Source organism: Homo sapiens, chromosome 12, assembly GCF_000001405.40.
Source record: "Homo sapiens chromosome 12, GRCh38.p14 Primary Assembly".
NCBI classification, from domain to species: domain Eukaryota; kingdom Metazoa; phylum Chordata; class Mammalia; order Primates; family Hominidae; genus Homo; species Homo sapiens.
Window position 1 is genome coordinate 77565345 of NC_000012.12, and position 22792 is coordinate 77588136.

Here is a 22792-nt window from a genome sequence, read left to right on the forward strand (position 1 = left end):
CCCCTCAACTGCAGAAAATATCCATCAATCTGTCTGAGTGGTCCCTGTAAAATCCCTGTCAGAGACTGAAGATCACTCTGTAAGTAATCTTCACAAATCCTTTCAAAATCTCACTGAAAACATTTATCCTTTATCTGATGAGAGACTCCTGGGTGAGTCTGAGCAGTATGGAAACATTCTTTTAAGCTATAAAAACATGAAACTATTTATACTTATACATAAAGTCACTGGATTTCCCTACCAAACCCAACCACTGTATTATATTGAATAAAAGTGGTAGACAATTAATACTACGTATTGACAATTACCTTCGTGTGAGCGAACAACTTTTCAATATCTTCATGTACATTCCAGCAGCTTTGTAGTTTTATCATAAATCATTTTTATTCTGCAAAAATAAGGATAAGTCATCTTAAATTATTAATTTAAAATGAATTGAAATCATATTGAAATTAATTTTTATGTGCATAATTGTCCATAATTTATTCTGTCCACATGAAATTGCCTTTTATCATTGGTGTAAACTCATTTGTATTCTAAGGTTTTGATATTTGACAGAGTGAAAAAGAATATGCTGGTGCTCCTTTGTTTTCATTACATCTGACTCCCTGCTGGACTGTAAACTGTATAAAGACAAGGATGAGTATTTAAAATCTGATGATTTGGGGCCTGCACTGTGCTGCACACACATTAGGCACACAGTGCTTTTTGTCTTCCATACGTATTTTTCTACTATGAGGAAGGTATTAGGTAAGGTAGATAAATTTGAATAATTTAGAACATTAGTAATGCTTTTGGAAAAATTATTTCATGCTAATATAAAATAATGTGTATGGAAAATATGGTTGACAGACTGTAATGCCTTACTACTATAAAGAGAGAGGGAGGCCAGGCGCGGTGGCTCACGCCTGTAATCCCAGCACTTTGGGAGGCCGAGGCGGGCAGATCACAAGGTCAGGAGATCGAGACCATGGTGAAACCCCGTCTCTACTAAAAATACAAAAAATTAGCCGGGCTCAGTGGCGGGCGCCTGTAGTCCCAGCTACTTGGGAGGCTGAGGCAGGAGAATGGTGTGAACCTGGGAGGCGGAGCTTGCAGTGAGCCGAGATCGTGCCACTGCACTCCAGGCTGGGTGACAGAGCGAGACTCTGTCTCAAAAAAAAAAAAAAAAAAAAATTGGGGGAGATATTTTGAAAGTTAGGAGATAAATACATTTTCTGATATTTAATAAACCATGCTATTGGTAAGCTTGACATTGTGCTATGGCAAAATTCTATGCCGTAATGAAACAGCTGGTCCATAACCTTAAAAAATAAGAATGACACCCAATAATAACAAGTTTAATCAGTCTAACTTTTTTTTTATTGTTGCTTATTGGAGAGACCATTTATGGGAACACTAAACACATAGACGTGTCTAAGTTTTTTCTTAGCTTTTTTCTAATCATGAAGCATACTTTACATAGAGAAAACCATACGAAATTTTAATTTACAGCTCAGTGAACTGTTACAAGGCCAATATTAATGTATCGCCCACCCAAATAAAAAAAATGAACATGGGTAACACTGTAATCAAATTGCAATTAAAACATCATTCCCTCCCACTCACCGAAGGTCACCAGTATCCTGACTTCTAACACCATTGGGTTTTGCCAGTTTTTGGAACTTCACATAAATGGAATCATGTAGTATATATATTTCTTTTGCTTTGGTTTTGGCTTCCTTAATATTTGCAAGATTCATACATATTGGTGAGTGTCCATAGTTTGTTAATATTAATTAATGTACAATTGTCTGTTGCATAAGCGTACCATAAGTTATTTATCTATTCTAATGTTGGTGAACTTTGTTTCCAGATTGTTTTGAATTTTTTTATGGTTATGTTGAAAGTACTTTGCTGTTGTGTCTCTTGATGCACATATGCATATATTTCTGAAGAGTACATACCTAGGAATATTATTGCTGGGTTATAAAGTATGTGTATCTTTAAACTTAATAGGTAATACTAAACATTTTCCCAAAATAGTTATACTAATTTACATTTTGACCAGCAGTGTTCTTGTTGTTTTATGTCTTTGCTAACAGTTGATAGTGTCATTCTTTTTATTAACTTAGGTAGATGAGATGTTATATCTCATGTAGTTTTGATTAGCATTGTACTGATTACTAATAAGAGTATTCATTTTTTTTATTTTTGAGACGGAGTCTCGCTCTGTAGCCCAGGCTGGAGTGCAGTGGCACGATCTCCACTCACTGCAAGCTCGCCTCCCGGGTTCACGCCATTCTCCTGCCTCAGCCTCCCAAGTAGCTGGGACTACCGGCGCCCGCTACTACACCCGGCTAATTTTTGTATTTTTAGTAGAGACGGGGTTTCACCGTGTTAGCCAGGATGGTCTCGATCTCCTGACCTAGTGATCCGCCTGCCTCAGCCTCCCAAAGTGCTGGGATTACAGGCGTGAGCCACCGCGCCCAGACAAGAGTATTCATTTTTACATGTATCTATGGGCCATTTGTCCATCCTTTTTTAACTTTTCATGTTTAAATTATTTAAATCATTTTAGAGTCACAGGAAGTGTCAAGATAAGCCAAAAAAGGACAGGGAAGTTCTGTGTACCCATTACTTAGTTTACTACAGCGTTAGCATCTTGCATAACTATAGTATAAGATAAAAACTAGGAAGTTGGCATTGGTACAGTCCACAGAGTGAGCAGATTCATATTTCACCAGTTTTATAGATACTGAATTGTATATGTGTATTGTCTATGCAACTTAATCACATAAGTAGACTCATGTAACCACCCTTACAATCAAGATACAATGCTGTTCCGTACCATAAGGCTCCTATTTCCTGCCTCTTTTGGACACATCTCACCCTCATCCCTAAGCCATGGCAACCATTAATCTGTTTTTCATCTATATTATTATTTTTGGAAACATCTATTCAGATATTTTTGTCTATTGTATTTTTATTATTGACTTTTAGATGTTTTTATATGTAATTATATATATAACAAGTGACTTTTCCTAGTCCATGAGTTGAATTATATTTTCTTATTGGTGTTTTATGATTAATAAAAGTTTTTGATATTGATATAGTTATTATTTTTCTTCGTGTTCAGTGCTTTTGAACTCTTGAGAAATTTTCCCCTACCCTCAGTTAATGAAGGCATTTTCCAAGAAGCTTTATTTTTTGTCAGATTTATATCAGCAGTCCACCTGAAATTGTTAGTATGAAGTAAAAGTCGGGTTTAACTTTTTTCTATATGGCTATCCAACTGACCTGGCATTCTTTTTTGAAACTACTTTTTCTCCGTGGTTTTGCAGTTCAACCTTTATGTCAAATAAAGTGGTCATATCTGTTAAAGCCTGGTTCGGGGATTTCTATGTTCCACTGGTTGATTTTTCTACCCTTGTTATTATCATTTTATTTACTGTTGATTTAAAATATGCCTTAACATCCAGTAGAGCAAATAGTTTCAACTTGTTCTTCTTCATCAGTGTCTTGGATTTTCTTGATTGTTTGCATTTCCATATACCTTTTAGACCTTTTAGAAGCATCTTCTAAAGTTATAAAGAAAAACTGGGGATTTTGATTAGGTATTGCATTGAATGCAATAAATATTTTAGGTATGAGTTGTTTCTACATTATTGAGTCTTATTTCTGAATTTCTGAATATGGCACAGCCCTCTATTTATTTAAATCTCTATTTTCTTTTGATGCTGTTTTATTGCTTTATCATAAAGTTTTTACAGTCTCTTGTGAGATTTATTCCAGGGCATTTGATATTTTTAATGCTATTATAAATAGTATATTTTCAATCTTTCATTTTCTAAATGTTTGTTGATATTATAAAGAAATATAAAGGATTTTTATATATTGACTTTGTATACAGAAACTTACTAAACTCACTTATTGATCCTAGTAATTTATCTCTTGATTCTTTAATATATTCTGTATATATTACCATAACATTTTCAAATAACAATTTTATTTCTTTCTTTTTAGTGTTTATACTGCTTGTTTGCTCTCCCCATCTCCCTCCTCTCCCTCCCTTGTCTCATATTTTCTTGTCTTACTGCATGGTTAGACTTTAAGTACAGTGTTAAATAGAAGTCATATTAGTAGCCACTTGTGTGTTGTTTTTGATCATATGAAAAGTTTTTAACTTTTCACCAATATGTTTAATGTTTGCAGTAGTTGTTTTTTGGTGAATACACTTTATCAGATAAAGGAAGATTATGAAAGTCCCCTTCTACTCCTCATTTGCCAAGATAAATTTTAGGTCATGAGTCAGTGTTTAATTTATCAAATTATATGTCTACACCCATAGAGATGGGCATATAATTTTTCTTGTTTTGTAAATGTGGTGAGTTACACTGATTTATTTTTAAATCTTAAGCCAACCTTTATTCCTGGGATAGTATCAACTTGGAATTGATGTATAATTCATTTTATACATTCCTGGATTCAGTTTGCTAATGTTTAGGATTTTTGCATCTATGAACATCAGTGAGATTATCTTATAATGTCCTGGACTTTAGCAAGCATTTTTTGTTTTACCATGTCTTTCTTCTTCTCTTGTTCAAAGTGTGTCTCTCATGAGTTTGCTGTGTTAGGTAATGTTCCTGCACCCTTAAACCACACACTCAAACTCATTTTCAGTCAATTACCATTTCTGTCAACTCTGCCTCTTACATGATATATCACTCAGTTTTGTCATTCTTCCCACCTCGTCGGCTCCTACACTAGTTCAGGATGCTATTGTATGTTTCTCGGATTGCTCTAACAATGCCTATAAGGTTTTTCTGGCACAAGTTTGGCTCCCTTCTATTTTCTGTATGACAGTTCAGGTGAACTGTTAAAATCACAAACCCTATTATAGTGCATGCCTTCTTACAATTTTGCAGTGACTCCTCATTGGATTTCTTTCAGCTCCTCAAATTGATCATGTTCTCTTATGCCAAAGCCCTTGTCCATGTTGTTTACTGTGCTGAAAACTTTCACAGTAGTGCACAAACTAAAATATCTGCATGACAGAGCAGCGTTGTTGAAGACAGAACAGGGATTGGCAAAATGATGCCAGATAAGAAAAAAAAAAAACGTATAGAGAAGTGCAAAGGGCAATTTAGAAGCTGATTTTTCATACTCACTAACATTTAATTTACTGTTGACTTAAAGTATGTTTATCAGTTGTTTTATGCTTATCATGGCATGTGTTGAGGGACCTGGAGGCGAATTCTTAAAGGGAGCAAGTTGTGCTTGACCCCTGTGCTCAGTGCTGGACAGCACAGTTTATGGGCCTCATACAAAGTGCAACCTCTTCTGAAGGAAGTAATCATGGTGGTAAGGAATTTTTGGGGTGCTAGGGATGGTTAACCTGGCTAAGGAGATATTGAAGAACTGTCATATAAAACAAACATATTTTGTGCACATTGATGACTATGAAGATTATGAATAATTACAAATGGACAGAAGTATAGAAATACAGATTTTGTCTCCAAATTAACAAGAACTATCTAAAGATTAAAACTGCCTCAATATGAAAAGGGCTGCCTCCTGAGATGATAGGTTTCTTCAGGAAGTAGTTGGTCAATTATAAAGGGAATTTATATATTGAGGCAGTGGTGCCAAAGCACAGTATCTGGGGCTTCCAGTAGTTTTGGAAGCCTCCTATGTGAGTCTAATGTGCAGAAAAGTTTAGGAAGTCCTGCATTAAGGGGAGATTTCAACAGTGGTTTTTCTATATCACAAGTATCTAAAAGAGATGAAAAGAATACAGATGTCCAAGCACTTCTCTATAGCTTCTAAATTAGCAGAGATAAGGGCGCACCCCAGGAATCTATATGTTTATGATTATTCTCAGGTGATTCTATTATCTAGCTGGCCTTGGAAACCACTGGATTATATGATCCCTTTAAGAAGAAGTACTGTGCATAGTGTATCTGTAACCCAGTAAGGCACTTGACAGATTTGTTTATGTTATCCTTGTGGGACAAAATACGTAATATGAGTCAAGAAGAGTACAACTAGGAGAAATAATGGGTTTTGACGTCAAAGCAATCTGAATTCTAATTCTAGTTCTGTTACTTATGAGACTTACGAAAATTTACCCTCTCAATCTTAATTATGTCATCTTAAAATGGAATGATAATAACCATTTTACAGATCTTTTTTGAAGTCTAAATAAAATTATCTATGAAAGTTATCAAACTACAACATAATATCTGGCCATATTGGTCCCTCTTCTAAAATTCTGTGGTTCTATAAATGCAGAAATTCAAGAGTGGAACAGTAAAGCATACATACATGTTTGATGAGTAGTTGTGTCTTCTTTGTTACTTTTTAGCTTGGTGTTTTAAAGGCCATAAGGGTGAAGAATAATGCCATTATTTTTAAGTCAAATATTGTTTATGCCTAAAATATTTTGAAATTTTCAAATAATAATTTATTTTACTAATTGTAACAAAAAATGGTGAAAGAGAATTAACTATGTGCTTATTTTTTTAAATCACAGGTTTACAGGAAATCTGTCATTTTTTATTAAAATGGAAAACTGTGAAGAAAGAAAAAGATAGCAGTTGAAGTCAAAATTCTCGGATGACTATTTTGCTTTTGAGGAGTCAGCATTTAAAAACGATATGCTGATTTGGAAGGTCCTGGGAGTAAACTGCAAACTTTATTTTTTCCATTCAATCAATGGATTTTTTAATCATTCCTTGGAGTCGATGAAGTTCGGAAACGGTGTGTGATGGGGAACGTGGCGGGCCAGTGTGTTCCTAGAAATTGCATCTTGGATTAGTTTGCTGCTTTTTTGAAGAGATTCCATTTTGAAGGGCAAGAACCTAATGTGATGGATTTATCTTCAGAAATGAACAGACATGGGAAGAATCCAGTGAGTCACAAGCTAGAAGATCAGAAGAAGGTAAAAGAAATTTCTCTTTGCTTGGTCCTTTTTGTTTACACTTAAAGAGAATTTTTGAAATTGAAAATGAATGCACCTTTTGAGATAAAATAACATACTGTTTCACGGAAATCAACCCTGCTGTATGGCAATGTGTTTCTGTGGGTCTGGATTTCATTACCAGTTGGTAATTTTGTTTCTAAAATCCTCTGAATTTATCTATCCAGTGGGTTGGCAAGGATTCTACTGTGTTCTCTCACTCTTGACTTCATACTAGTGACCTGTTGAACTGACCTCGTAGGAACAGTTCTCTGAGACCCAGGGTGAGGCATGAGTCACAGGCACCTCTGGAGTAATGGAGCAGGCTAGAGCTCTCCTTAAATAGAACACCTGCCTTATTGCCATTAGAAAGCATAAGTGGCATTTTAAATTCTCTAATTTCATATCCTTGGGACACATCAACTTAGGCCTTCTGAATTATACAGCTGGCCTGGAAAGAAAGTTGTGAGACAACTGCGAGCTTTGTTTTGATTCTACATGATGTCAAAAGAACTGATGGAAAAAAGAACTGTGCTAACTTTATTTTAAAAGAAAGCGTTTAGCGAGCTTTTTAGTAAGAAGTGGGGATTGAATACTAAGGGATGTACTTCACCTTCATTTTTCTAGCTTTTTAGAAACTCTTACCTGCTGAATTGCTCCACTGGAGTGAGAACCACCTAAAGAACACTTATCAGAAGGGTTAGAGATGGCGTCTAGGAGAGAGAGCCCCACTCGTACTGAAATGTATCATCTTTTGCAGTGCTCTTATGGACTCTGCTAGTACAGGATAGGTGTGTGGGGACCCAGTAGCGATGGTGCTGGCAAGAAATGGGAGAAAAGGAAGGAAATTTTTAGTTAGATGTGGATCTAAGGGCCATAATTAAGCTTTGTTTTTACATCAGTCTTAGAAATTTTGTTTACTGTTCACTTCTCACATCCTGAAAAACAACTAGTTAGGTCTTTCACAGTGGTGGAGGTAAGTTTAGAAGAGGCTGTGCTGAGTCAATGGCTTATTAATTTTGTTTTGCCAATATAATTAATGCAACTGGCATGGGGCTACAGTAATCCTTTTGTCATTAATAGAGGCAGAAATGCATAGATTGTTTATTCCCAGTTTGGTTCATTTTTTGTGCAGTGTCAGTAAATCTCAGAAAATACTAAATACTATAAAATTCAAGGTGCCTGAAATCAATTTTTGCTTTAATGTGGATATAAATTTCTACACAAATACTTGTGTTACAAATAAGTTTGTTGGTGTTACCAAATGTTCAGCCTGCTTTTCTTCCCGCTGGCACTGGAGTGTTTACCCAGAGGAGATGTCACAGTAAATTTCAATCTAAAGCATTCTCTGCAATTTAACTACTAAGAAGCCATTTAATCATCTTTTCCTATCTACATTTTTATAACGTCCTTAACTCTGATGGTAATTTGGGTACTATATTGGGTGGGTAAAGAGGGAGGGAGGTAATAGGTAAGTGATTAATTACAGGGTTATAATTTCTGATGGAGATGCTGCTTTTATGACAAAAAAGATGAGTACCTCTGCAGGTGCTGCCTTTTCATTCCCTGGCTAAGGGAGATTTTCTGCAAACACCAAAGGAATTAAAGTTGAAGAATGGAACGAATTCTTAGAGTCATCCTCTGAGTTCTTTGTGTGGAACTGTAAACAATGGTTTGTAATGACACTTCGTTTACTAGGCCAACTCACACAAAACTGCTCAGCTCATACATAACATACTAATAGTAATAGAATTTAGACAAACCATGGAGAACCATAATTCTGCAAGAAGTGTAAAAATACTACCTTGGTGATGTGGCACAGGAAGACCCCCATCTCACTATAGCCTCGCCTTCTCATCGGTAAAGGAATGGAAGAGGAATGAATGTTTTCAATGAGCAGTATCAAGAGTGGAAAATGGAGTTCTAATGACCTCTTGGCTCCTTCGCTGGTGTGGGCACCTAAAAAGTAGCCTTGATATGTAAGATCTGCAAATAAACCAGAAACTTGGTATGTATAGATAAAGGTTTAAGATTCAAAATTTTTGAATCTGAAATGTCAGCAGGAACACCTAGTCTCAATGACACAATGAGTCACAGTGAGTTTAAATTAAAGAAAAATTGAAAGGTAACATCATAAATCTTTGTAGATGAAGTGCTGGCCATGGCCCTGCCACCAAGTAATCGCTAATAGAGATTAGAAGGTCATTTATTTAATTACTTCAAGTGTTTATAGTCCTTCATGATGAATTAATTTAGCAGGTATAGGTGAAACAGAACGCATTTAGCCTACTCCTGCTTCATTGAGAGGTGAAGCATTTTTTAATATTACTGAAAAAGTGTCATCTTCTCATGGTGTTTGGCATATTGTACACATTCAAAGCAAGGTACATTGAAATGGATTGGATAAGCACCTATTCTAAGCACTACACAACCGATCTCTTATTCAGCTTACAATAAATCACTAGCTTTTGTTAATTTAAGATGTGTAGATTTGTACTTATTATATTCTACTTCTAAGTACAAACTCTTAGGATCCTGTTTATATGAGTCTGTGAGTATGTGTTCTACTGAATGAGGAGGTGAATGTCAGGGATGAGGTTGGTCATTCATAGGGTGCTTATCATATGTCAGGAACATGCATGATACCTTTTGCTTTATTAAGATAGTATCTTCCTACAACAATAAAAGCTGCTTTTATCTCCTTAAGAGTTTGGGTCTTGTAAATATAATTATCTATTCCTTAAATATATATATATAATATTTACATATTTTATATATAAATATGTATTTAAAATATATATGCTATTATTCAAAATTAAAGCTTCAAAAGTGTTTGACTTTATTGGTTTCTTTTAAATAATGCCTCATCCCCTTACTAAATCTGAACAGAGGATCACATACTTGAAAGTTACAAGCTATATCCACAAATTCTATCTGAAGTACTCTTCATTACTGATAAACTACAGATGTGTATCTTATAGGACTTAAAGAGAATACTTCTAATAATCTTATAGAAGTTGAAGAAAATACTTTTAAGGATCTCAAGTCAACTTGGATTAGTGTAGGACTGGGTGAAATTTAATGGCTTTTTTTGAGTCTTGTGATTTATTTTTTCAGTAGAACTTTCAGCTGGTATTGGGCCATAACCCAGCTCTTGGCATTCAGATTCTGGAAAATTATCGTGGCATCTCAAACCACCTGAATGCCCATAATGGAGTGTTTTATTTTTGATAACATGACTTTTTGACCTTTGTTTGCACAATCAAATCCAGTGAGGTTTGCATATTGCTGCCAGCTAATTTTATTGCTTTGTGGGATTATTTCTGCAAAACAAACCCAGAACAGTGAAAGCTCAATAGTTACAAATGATACTGCTATGTAATTAATCGTGACCTTGAACTGAAAAGCAGAGCATGGTAAATTTTACTGTCAGTCTAATTGCAGCAGTTTGCAATTCAGACAACCCTGGAACACTGTTTTATTGCTCCATGAATATTTTGTGTATTAAACCAAAGCATTTGTCATAGTCAATATTTTACTAGGTAGTGATAAAAAGATAGTAGGATACACACTTCAGAATCATGGCACAAAGGTGCAAAAAGTATTTGGTGATCTGTTGGATGTATTTTGTTGCTGTATTCCGTAAACCGGAAAGACATGAGCAATATTATTGTGTATGTTTAGAGGTATTTTTCTTTTATGGAAATGTTTTAAGATTGGTACAATCTCAGTTTTTCACTTCCCCAAATCACGTATTTTACATATTCAGTTTGCCAGAGTTATTTTCACCTTGCCATGAAAAAGCTCACGATAAATTCCAACACATCACATCTGTCCTTCCGTCCTTCTATGAGACTTCAGATTACTTCAGAAGTGACATATTCTGGGTATAGTGTTTGAGATGTGAAGAGTTATGTAAAATGAGAGAAATTATTGTATTAATTGATAGGAATAATACTGATATAGAAAAAGCCTATTATTTTAGGCTCCTGTGATTTTTTTTTTGGACTGAAAATCAAGTTTAAGCGGAGGGTTAGAGAAAGCATCACCTTCAAGTAACAATGAGTGCTTCATCAATGTCAATTCACATGGACCTGTTTTATTCTTTCTCTTTCAACTGACATCAAACAGAAGCGTGGTCTGGGCTTGGTGTCTGCATGTGACTGTGTTAGGTTACTTTAATAATTTTCCTGGAAACATCACCCACTTACGATTGCCAGAGCTCTACAGAGTAGAAGTACTTTGTCAATTTAAAGCTAGCCTAGTTCTTATTTTGCTATTTATTTCATTTAGTGTGCTGATTCTTTTCATTTTATTTTTGCATTTTCTTGCAGTGATGATAAAATAACATCATATACAAGTCAAAAAGTGTTCTTCAGATTATTCTTGCAGGTGTAGACTACTTAAGATTGTTTATGTTGGAAACTAATTAAAAATCTGTTTTCTTTAAAGAAAATATGAGCATAAATCAATAAAAAAAGAAAGTTTAGTGAGGATAGGTCTAGCCCTTATATTTGTTGATTTTCTTAAAGAATGGCCTCATTAAATGAGGCCATTTAATTATTTTTATAAATCTACCTGACTTCCTTTTTTAATGTATATTACATAAGTTATAGGGAGCATGAGGGATGATGAGGTTTCTGAAACAACATCGTATCATTTATTATCAGCCAATCCTGAAGCACGGCTCTAGTAAGAATGAATTGTAGTGTCAGTTTCAACAAAAGTGGTTAGTCATTCAACTGTTGATTATCTAAACTTCTCATTTTTGAAACATAGCCATTTTATAATGTTACTATATAAATCTGGAATTAATGTGTAGACATAAACATGAACATCAAGTTCCCAAAGAAACTCGTGCTGTGATTGTAGCATACTCGGATGCAGATTAAGACTATCCCTAATTTCTACCTCTGCTTCATACTTCTATAAGATGATTCCACAAACAGCTGTCTCCCAGTTATTTTATCTGGCATCCTCTAAGGATGAATTAGATAAAGTGACTCTTTTTCCACTCAGAAGTGATTCTAGAAACTTCTTTCTCAGATTTGAACTTGGATAGAACCTCCTTTCATTTTTTCTCCACCATATCATAGAAATCTAAAAATTCATATGGCGGCCTTTTTGCACCTGGCAGCACACATTTTTGAAGTATTTGGACTTGGTATAACAGAAAAAACTGGAAATGGATAAAAGTGAATGGGACATATGCATACTTTATGGTTCCACCATTTTGTTCTAGACTAGACTATGTGCTTTCTCCTGATTGGTGGATTTAAGACGTCAATAGATATAGTGAGCCTATATCTTCATATAAATGGATAAAATATACAGTCCCAAGATATATAACACTCAATATATTTTGAACATTTTGAAGGCAGAATTATATGAAAATCTCTGAGTATTAGTTGCCATTAATTATGACTGTAATTATAATGATACTAATTATTATTAACATATAAAGTTTTCTCAGTTTTAATTCTGATTTTTCTTAAATCTTTTCCTCTGTCTTGATACTAACATGTGAGTTCTGGCTTTTATCATTTCATAAAGGAAAGAATATACTAAGACTAACATTTTTCTTCTAAAATATGTCCCATTTGTTTCTCTGGATAGCAGGCTGCCTGCTAGTGAGCTGGGCCATCTGATTTAATAGCAATAAGACAGGGTGGATAAAAATTTTTGTGGTTTTCTTACAGAGGGACTGACTAATTGTCTCCAAAATTGATTCTAGTTCAGGAATATGCAATGCCTGGGATAAGAATTAAATGAAACTAAGCCGATTTAAAGATATGTTACAAAAGTGGTAGACATAAGGAATTCTGCCTATTTTGCATATAATTTTTTACAGTATGACTGCAAAGTTGAAAAAATCAACATATTTGATTTTCTGAGTATATTCTGAGGACCAACAGCATCACTGTCATCTGGGAGCTTATAAGAAATACAAAATCTCAGGACCTACACTAAACCTATTGAATGGGAATGTGCATTTTAAGATCCCCCGGTGACTCTAATGCACAGCAATATTTGAGAACCCTTGCCCTACAGACAGTTTCTGAGAGCACCCCAGGAGGATTAAGTTTTAGTTACTCACCATTGTGATGTGTTCAATGAAGTGGCCTTTAGTTTCTATCTTCTGGTTTCTGTCTCCCTAACTCCCTTCCCAGTATTTCCTGGAATCATCAGCCAAATAAATTACTTGCACTTGGATCATTGTTTTGGGGTCTGCTCTCAGGAAACCTAAACTATGACACTCTATATCTACAGTTCTGGTATTCATATTTGTTTCAGTCAGCTAATGTTGGACTCTGTTAGCACAGCTGTTTGGAATTTAAACTTTTCAAGAATTCTTTCATCCTTATTATTCATTCCTGTTTTATTCTTGGATATCCTAAGTGCATACCCAGACTAATGATAATATCAACACTTGTTCAGTATGGTTGGTCATTTTTAAAAATAAACAGGCAATTTATGGGTGACCCACACAAAGAACAGCTGCTGCCATCACTCACGCCCTCTCCATTGTTGATGGCCTCTGCAACTGACATTGTCCCAAGCAGCTGCCGACAGAGCTGCCAGTACCTGTTTCCACGTCCAACCTTTATTCTATTCGTTAAAAAAAAAAAAGACACAATTAGGAGACATTTATTGAATCAGATATTTGGTGCTTGGAATCTGGAGTGGGTTTTCAGGCAAAATTTTTCTATTCATTCCCCTCTTCTTCTTAGAGTTCCCTGTGAGGAAGCTATATATACATGAAACAGTGACTAAATGGGAAAAAATGACTGGCATTATAAACAGAGTATGTGTATGAATGTCTCTACTCTCCTAAAAGTGGATCATTTCTAAAAAGCTTTAGTACTTTAGGTCCAAAAGCCAAATCTGGGTTTTTGAGTCCCTCAAAGCTGGAATCACCACTTCACTGAGCAAACCAAATACTAACCAAATTAGTTGTGTGGCTGAAGATGGACAGAGCTTGCCCAAAGATGGGAACCCTGTTAGTTGAGCTTATCACAAATGAGCAATACATTGAAAAGAAGTGGTGGTGCCCATGACTCTACCTTACTTCATTTTGTGCTGCAATAACAGACTGGGTAATCTATAAGAAATAGAAATTCCTTGGCTCACAGATCTGGATGCTGGCAAGTCCAGTGCTGAGGTGCTGGCACCTGGTGAGGGCCTCTTGCTGCATCATCACAGAAGAAGCAAGAGAGAGCTAGAAAGAGCAAGTGGTGGCTGAAATCACTCTTTTACAGCAGCACCAACCCAACCATGAGGGTGGAGCCCTCAGTACATAATTACCTCTTAAAAGTCCCACCTCTTAATACTGTAATAATGGCAATTAAATTTCAACAGGAGTTTTGGAGGAGGCTAACATACAAACCATAGTACTACCTTTAGCAGAAACAACCACTGCCTCCTAATACAACATGGCTTACTATTTCACTCAAGACCTGATGAAACTAGCAATGTCTTTGGGAAGATCCAGTAAAACATAGTACAGCAAAGAGTTAAAAGCACAGAATCTACAATAAGACCACTTGATTTTGGTTCTCGAATCCGACACTTTGTCAAATTACTCAACTTCTGTCTTCCTCCAGTTTTCTCATTTGTGTTACTTCTTAAAATGATAGTTACAGCAGTTGAAACAGTGCTTCACATGTGAAAAACAATAACTGGTAGCTATTGGAGGTGGGCTAAGGAGTTGGTTGTGTTCTGTCTTCTGGGGGCAGACTCATTACTCCTTTCTCATCACTGACTTACTATGGGGCCCCAGCAGTGCTAGTGTTGAATGGCTTCCTAGTTTGCTCAAATCACGGCACTCCATTTTAGATTTCCCTCTCCAAACTGCATATAACAAATGATTTAAGCACTTTTAATACCAGGCTCCCCTAAAAGTGAAGACTTTCTTTATTTGGGGGTAGGGTGGGAACACACACACACACACACACACACACACACACACACACACACAAAGATGGAAGTATAACTAATAAATCAATCCTTGATTCTCCACCCTAGCCCCAGGACAGAATTTCCCTGTGGGTCTGGTCATTCTTCCTGGCTTCTACTGAGCTGCATCTTAGTGGTTCATTTAGGCCATGACACCGTCTGCTGGTTCCCTGGAGAGAGTCAGAGGGAGAATTAGTGCTTATGATATTTCATCCTAATATATGGATACAACATCAATCACCTGTAACTAGAACTCAACCCTAGAGCTAGTCAGAAGAGAAGTCTATGTTCAAAGACTTTATTTCCCTTAGGATGACACATTTGTTAAATCAAAATACTTTATGGCCATGGCATATTGACAAGAGCAAGGTTACCCTTAATTCATGGTACATTTTAATAGTGTTTACTGTCTAAACCCTAAATATTAGAGTTTTGTTTCTATTTTCAAGAGGAGAAAAAGAACATTGAACATGGGAAAAATTCTCAATACATGAACTGACTCATCTTTTATCTTTACCATTTCCAAAGTGAGATAAGGAATGTAAAAACTACGTGATAAAGCAAACATAATAAAATGTTAATTATAGACTCTAGTGGCAGTCATGGAGATGTTCACTGTAAAATTCTTTCAACTTTTCTGTATATTTGATAATATTTATAAATCCACAGGGGGAATATGTTAGTAAGATGTAATACTTGTTTTCAAGGTATTTAGTAGCATAGCTATAGTTCCCCTGCCATACTTCTCCAAACTTGATTCTCCCTAACAATGTAACTTGGGGATCAAGAGGGCTTAGAGGATTTTTGAGAAGTTAAGGGAGGCTGGCCCAGGACTGCTATTACTTGCCTTTAAGCTGTACTATGTACTCTTTTCAGTTGTACTGGAATGCTAACCAGCATTTGTTGCATGATCTACATGGAAAATTTACTATGAATTTTCAACAACTTAGAAACCAATTTTAGGACTCCATCCCACATCTATTGCTTTTTTTCCTTAAGTATTTTATATATTCAATCATTTGTACATTCCATAGAATACTTTTATTGTGCTCTGATTTAAATCTGGGAATGTCAGTTCCAAGCATTAAACAAATAAAAAGAAATGACTTTTTATAGTTAGTAATTCTTCATGATCAATTTTTCATCTTTCATGGGATGAACTATCCTTTATAAATGTTTCCTGCCACATATTACACTGAATAGTGTAGTTGGTTAAAAATCAATTCAAAATGTGATGTTATATTGCTTATTTAGAATCAATTTCTTATGTGTATATTTGTATAATGGTAAAGTAGTTCTTTAGTGCACAGTAGGTATAGCTCTTTGCTAAGAATGTTCTCCAGTATATTCAGACATTTCTACATATTAGCTTGCTAGTTTCCAGTAAACTCGCCAGGTTTTGTTAAGTAATTGTCTCAGAACTTGAGATAGTTTTGATCCACTCAAATTAGTAATCCTGCTCTTATAATGTGTTTTATATATTGGATTTTAACATAATATTTTGTTTGAAGAAGGAAATCAAAATAATTGCACACAGATTTAAATGATACAATATTTTGGCTGAACTTAATGTGTTTTCTGCATTTATGGGGTACCTACTTATGCTCTGTGGTAGGTAATAGTAAAACTACCATGTTAACTGCATTACTAATGGGTTTATTCATTTATACTCATCACTTGTCCTTTGCATAACAGTGTGGGTTAGGCTTCTAGGTAATATGTGAATAGCAACATACAATTACAAAGCACTTTTCCTTGCATTTTCTTCCATTCTTACACTTTACAACTCTGTAAAACTATAGATCAGGTAATCTTTACGTCCACATGAGGGACAGGGACTTTCCCAAGATCATACAACTCACCAGGTTGCATCTTTTTATTTTGCTTAGTGGTTTCTTTAAATCCACTTGTATTTAGCACACTTTCTATGTGCATTGAAATTACATATCAAATTATTCCTTCCTTAATAACATCTAATTTACTAATGTGTTGTTAGAAGTATGTTTAAAGGACATTAATCTACAAAGCCTTTCTAGTGTTTCTATTAAATTTGTATGCCACATGCGTTGGCATATAGTATACTTTCTTTGTGCAAATGTTTTTCAAGAGCTACTCCCCAAATGACTTTGAAAAGGTGTGAAAAATAGTCCAGATTTGGGAAACCACAGTTCTTTGATGACATTAAACCGGTTTGATCATATTACACTTGTGATACCTGAGAATTTAGATTTAAGTTTCTCCTTCTATCTTATTAGAGCTGACAGATTTTGGAAAATTACATTAGGAAGTTTTATTAATTGTTAGGAAAATGTATTGTAGAAACCCAGGTTATATTTAAATTTGATAAGCTACACAAAGAAAATTCATCAACAGTCCACACAGGTAGGGCCATGAGTTTTTGCCAGCCCATCAGCCACCAGATAACCCACAAGGCTTGGCTCCCTGGTCTCTTAGTGGTGCCAGTGACACATGTGAGTACACGCATGTATGTGAGCCACCTTGCTCTCCTGTAGTGAAGCAGGATGTTCTATTGGACCAAGTTCACATTTGGTATTTGTTCACCATGGTGGAAATGAATGGGAACCGGGGCCTGTCACAGAGGTGAGACTGCTAGCCAATTCAAGGCATATCCACACCATTTTTGAGGAAATATTAAATAAAATACATATGTGACCATTTAAGTGCCTAATTTACAGCACTTGATTTGTCTGACACACAATGAGGGTAAGAATAGTGTTCTATATAAATGGCTCCTTCGTTTTTCCACTTTGATAAACATTCTTAAAAAGAGCTTCATTTACAAACATTACACTTTCCTAACATTTGTGTTTTTGCAAATGCTTAGAGTTGTAGAGTACTCCTCAGAATGTATACATTCAGTTCCAAGATGAGGCTGCCTCTTAAGAATGTCACCAAACCACATCAATAATTCTGCCTGCTTTTCAAATTTTGCTGCTGGTAATTAATTTCTACTTAATATTTTTCATTAAAATTAGATGTTCTCCTTTAAACTCTTACCAGCTGCTTGATTAGACAATATTGTTAGGTACGATGTAGCAGTTTTACCTCATACTATCTCAGTAAGTAAGGCCTCCATCTTTTAACAGTTGCTGGTATTGGCAAATTATAATGTTTGTAAATGACAGATAAGTAACACCTTGTATGTACATGTTATTTTCTAATTAACATTGGAAAATGATCTGGGGTTATACTTTTAAAACAATGTGAACTTTGTAATTAATGTGTTAATCTGCTTTGCTCTGTAAAATATTTTTAGGTAATTATGAATTAATGTAGCATACCATGTTGTTTTGGGGGAAAACTACAAAATGAGGATAAATAAAGATGTACCCAGACATTTCCGAAGCACTTACCATTTTATGAATTTCTTCCATATCCATCATCAGGTTCTAAATTAGTGGTTTGACTAAATATATGATACTAAGAGTATATGTGGATATAGCAATGACCTTTTAAATGCCCGGCACATCCAGATTTATCACTCACTTTCCTAAAACTCTGATGACTTTTTAGCACAATCTGAGCTCTTTAACATGGCCCATGGGACCCGACATAATCTCATCCCATTCCCCCTCCAACCTGTCTCCTGCCATTCTTTCTTCAATTCATTCTCTTCCAGACATATTGACAACCCATCTCTAAGTTCCTTGAACAATGCAAGTACAGTACTACCTATCTTCTTACCTTTAGGCCTTTGTACTGACTACCCCTTCTGCCTGGAATACTCATTGCTCTATTTTTTACATGGGTGGCTGTTGCTTCATCATTCATGTATCCAGTATTACTGTAATTTCCTCAAGAAAGTGCTTTCCCACCACTCCATCATTATGTTCTATAATAGCACACTGTTGTCTGCCTTCTTAAGAATGATTGTTTGTATTTTTACTCATGTATTGTTTGTTTGCAGTCAGCCTCTACCAGGTCAGGGACATTGCTTGTCTCATTCATCCTCGTATTGATGCCTTGCATATGATACGTACTCAGGAACTATTGCTATGGCACAAAGAAGAAAAGCCTATGTGGGTACATAAAATACCATTAATTCAGCAAATGTCTTATGAGGACTTAACAAATTGGGTTGTGATTTTTTTAATAAAAGGTAAACAAAAAAGATAAGCTAAACACTGAGCTTGCTCCAAAGCAGCTCTCACATAGTATACCAAAAAAAAAATTTTTTTTTTAATGAAAATCTTAAAGCAGAGTCTGTTTGGTTAGATTAAATGCTTATGGGTATGCTGTCTTTACATACCCATGTACCTTTATTTCTTCCTATGAGGGAAGGGCAGAACTTTCAAAGGGCAAAGCTATCAAAGCAGCCTCCTGCATTTTCCATTGACTCTCCATATCCTTCTGACTCTTACAAGTGAGAAAAATGACAGGTTTAAATGTTTTATAATTTCCATTACAAATTACCTAGCTGTTTAATTATAAATTCATCCATGATATTTTATAGGCAGAAGTGATGGCATACTTAGGATTTAGAATTTTGGATACAGACAGTATGTGCTACTTGGACTCTCAATCTATATATGGCTTGTATAAAAAATTAAAGGCTAAAGTTATTTAACATTTAGTATTTGATTTCCCCCCTCAAAAAAATGTAGGGTAAAAGGATTGTCAAATTCTGTTTAAGTTTTGTAATAATTATGCATGCCTCCAGCTACCATGTTAGCACAGAGTCTGGTATCTAATTCTTGAGTGGCATTGAAGAATGCCTGACGGATGATACAACTGAAAGTAGGGAGGGGCAGCCTCAGTCCTGCTACACATCCAAGACAAGATAAACCCCGTTCTCACATGTCTATGCCATTGTTTTTTGCTGGCAGATGGTGCTGGCAGGTGTTTCTGCATTGCCTGACTGGTGATGCCTGTCTATTGCTGGTCCAGGATGGTCTCAGAGAGAAGATGATCCTGCTTCCTAGGGCTAAGCTGGATGGTACTTCAGCAACTGTAGCTGCAGTGCTCAGCGCTCATCCTCTTCAGGTCACATAACCACCTCCAAGGTATCAGCTGGCACCAGAGATCCTGCATTAGACCTGTTTCCAGGGTCTTCACTCCTAAACGTCAGCAACCATTTTTCTTTTCTACTCTCAAACACAGCGTGTTTGATTCTATCTCTTTTACCTGGGTAGCAGCCTTCTAGGAAAATTTCCTAGGACCCTGGACAGAGTTGGTTTCAATAACTCCAAGATAAATTCCCAGAAAATTTCTTGTTAAGAAAGGAAAAAGACAAAAAATGAAAACACATTATTCTCTGATAGGACGGGGGAAGGGTATCGATGGTTTAGGGATGAAACTGTTCTACCTCAGATTATCAGACATTAGATTCTCATAAGGAGCTCAGAACGTAGATCCCTTGCATGTATAGTTCACAGTAGGGTTCGTACTCACTCCTACGAGAACCTAACACCTTGGCTGATCCTACAGGAGGTGATCGGGCAGTAATGCTCCTCGCCTGTCACTCAGCTCCTGCTGTGTGGCCCAGTTCCTAACAGGCCACAAGCCAGTACTGGTCCAGCCTGGGGGTTGGGCACCCTTGATATAAAGTATATGATGTCAATAGGCTTTTCTGTCTCTTTACCTCTGAAATATTTAAATGTCTATTCTTAAAAATTTGCTAGCTGGGCGCGGTGGCACATGCCTGTAATCCCAGCACTTTGGGAGGCCGAGGCAGAAGGATCACGAGGTCAGGAGATCGAGACCATCCTGGCGAACATGGTGAGACCCCATCTCTACTAAAAATACAAAAAATTAGCCGGGCGTGGTGGCGGGTGCCTGTAGTCCCAGGTACTCGGGAGGCTGAGGCAGGAGAATGGCGTGAACCCGGGAGGCGGAGCTTGCAGTGAGCCGAGATCGCGCCACTGCACTCCAGCCTGGGCGACGGAGCGAGACTCCATCTCAAAAAAAGAAAAAAAAAATTGCTGTAAGATTATAATTTACACTGATTAATTGCTCCTGGTACTCTATTCTGTATCTTCTTATCATTGACCAATATTAAGATTTTTCCCTGGAAGAGAAACTTTATTTTTGATGCTTGGGAAAGCACTTTCCCAGATAAGAAAATGAATATTATAATCAGCTTTTTATATGCTTCTTTTACATGGTAAGATTCTTTCCAAAATTCAGAAAGACTAGGGTTTCATTAGCACACACTGTTGTTTTATTTTCACTCAAAGATAATGGGCTTTTCATATACTTGTTTACAAACATAATTAAAAATGGGCTTTTGTAGAGAGGAATTCAATTCTAATAGAATGTTGATTAACTGAAGTGTTATTTGTTTTTTTCTTAAAGTCTTAGAGAGCATCTACTAGAAGTTTAGGATTTTTGCCTAAGAGAAAGTAAATCTAGAGCAACTAACTATTGCAAAATAGGAACAGGAGCTTGGCAAAGATTTGAAAGATCTTTTCGTGCTGACTGATACAGTATCCACTCGTCACGTGTGGCTATTTAGATTTAAATTAATCAAAATTAAATTAAAAATTCAGTTCTTCAGTTGCACTAGCTGTTTCAAGTGTTCAATCATCATATGTGACTAGTGGCTGTTATGTTGGACAGCACACATATAGAACATTTTCATCCGTGCGGAAAGTTCAATAGGCTGCTGAAATGTTCTGGTGAGAATACAATGTAGAATGGGAAGTTAGGAGAATGAGAATCAGAGTTTGATCAATGAAAGCCAGAGGAACAAGAACAGTTATGGAGTGTTTGAAAGGATTTTAGAGGTGAGTTAGACCCATTACTAAATTAGTAAATGAATTATTTATATTGCTTATTTTTCCTTATGTGAAAGTAACCAGAAGCTCCCAAACTTAAGAAGTATATACACAAGCAATGAATGAGATAATCAGTTTTGCATCATCTATGTAAAAAATTGTATTATCATAAATTATTATCTATAATAAATTATTTGATAATAAATTTTCACTGTTGAACTAATGTGCAGACTTTCCAAAAATGCTTTCCATGATCTCATGGGGGATGAAATGCTGTTTCAACTTTTCAAATACAATAAGATCAGCCAATAAATTAGTATCAGGACAAAAGTATTGAGGTAAAAAGAAACCATAAAATACTTACAAAAATACATGCATAATATTTTCCATCATTTTAGCAAATGATTTAAAATTGTGATTATATCCATTTATATGATAGTGCAATTCATCTGTCACATATACTTATTGTTTTCTTGCCAAATGATAAGATCCACAGAGCCATATGTTTCGTAAGCTCTTTTTGGAGAGAAATTTTGCTAAAGCTAGAACAAGTAAAATGTTAATCAGCAAAGGAATCATTAGTTACGTTTATATTCCAAGCAGTGTTCTTCAAAAATATATATTATAGAAGTTCATTTTCATTGAGTTAGACAACTTTAGTTACAAAATGTAAAATTAAAGGAGTCACAGAAAAGCTTGGTGAAACTATTACATTCATTAAGAATGAAAGATTAGCATGCAGTTTAATGATACAAATAAGATGCATGAATAGTTAATTTGCCAGGAATGTTAAGATTTGGTAGACTGAAGTAGAAGCATTCCATGTAATAGTTACAGAATTTTAAAGCCAATGAAAACCTTAGAGATTACATAGATCACTCTGAAAATGAGGAATCTGGGGCCCAGAGTGGCTATGTAACTTTCCCGAGGTTAACTGCTGGATAATGTTAGAGTTGTGATCAAAGACACATATATAATAGTTTCCAGTCCATCAAGTAGGTTCTATTATTTTTAAATCAGGCTAATATAATGTTTAACATCTTACAATTTCCATATGTATTTTAAACATTTATTTGTGCACATCCATCATTCCCAAATTTAACATACTTAGAAAAGATAGCCATAATGTCATGGGTCAGTAAAAATATCTATTTTGTTG

General features: G+C 35.6%; 1 protein-coding gene across 7 annotated transcripts in view; it reads left to right on the forward strand.

Annotated features, from left to right (window-relative positions):
- The first annotated feature begins 6517 nt into the window (after window positions 1–6517).
- NAV3 (neuron navigator 3) overlaps window positions 6518–22792 on the forward strand; it is a 641149-nt gene continuing 624874 nt past the window's right edge. For all 7 annotated transcript variants that reach the window (XM_017020166.3, XM_047429817.1, XM_047429823.1 and 4 more), the window contains exon 1: window positions 6518–6922. In XM_017020166.3, the coding sequence (XP_016875655.1) occupies window positions 6851–6922 (72 nt within the window). In that variant the 5' untranslated portion in view covers window positions 6518–6850. The remainder of the gene's footprint in view (window positions 6923–22792) is intronic.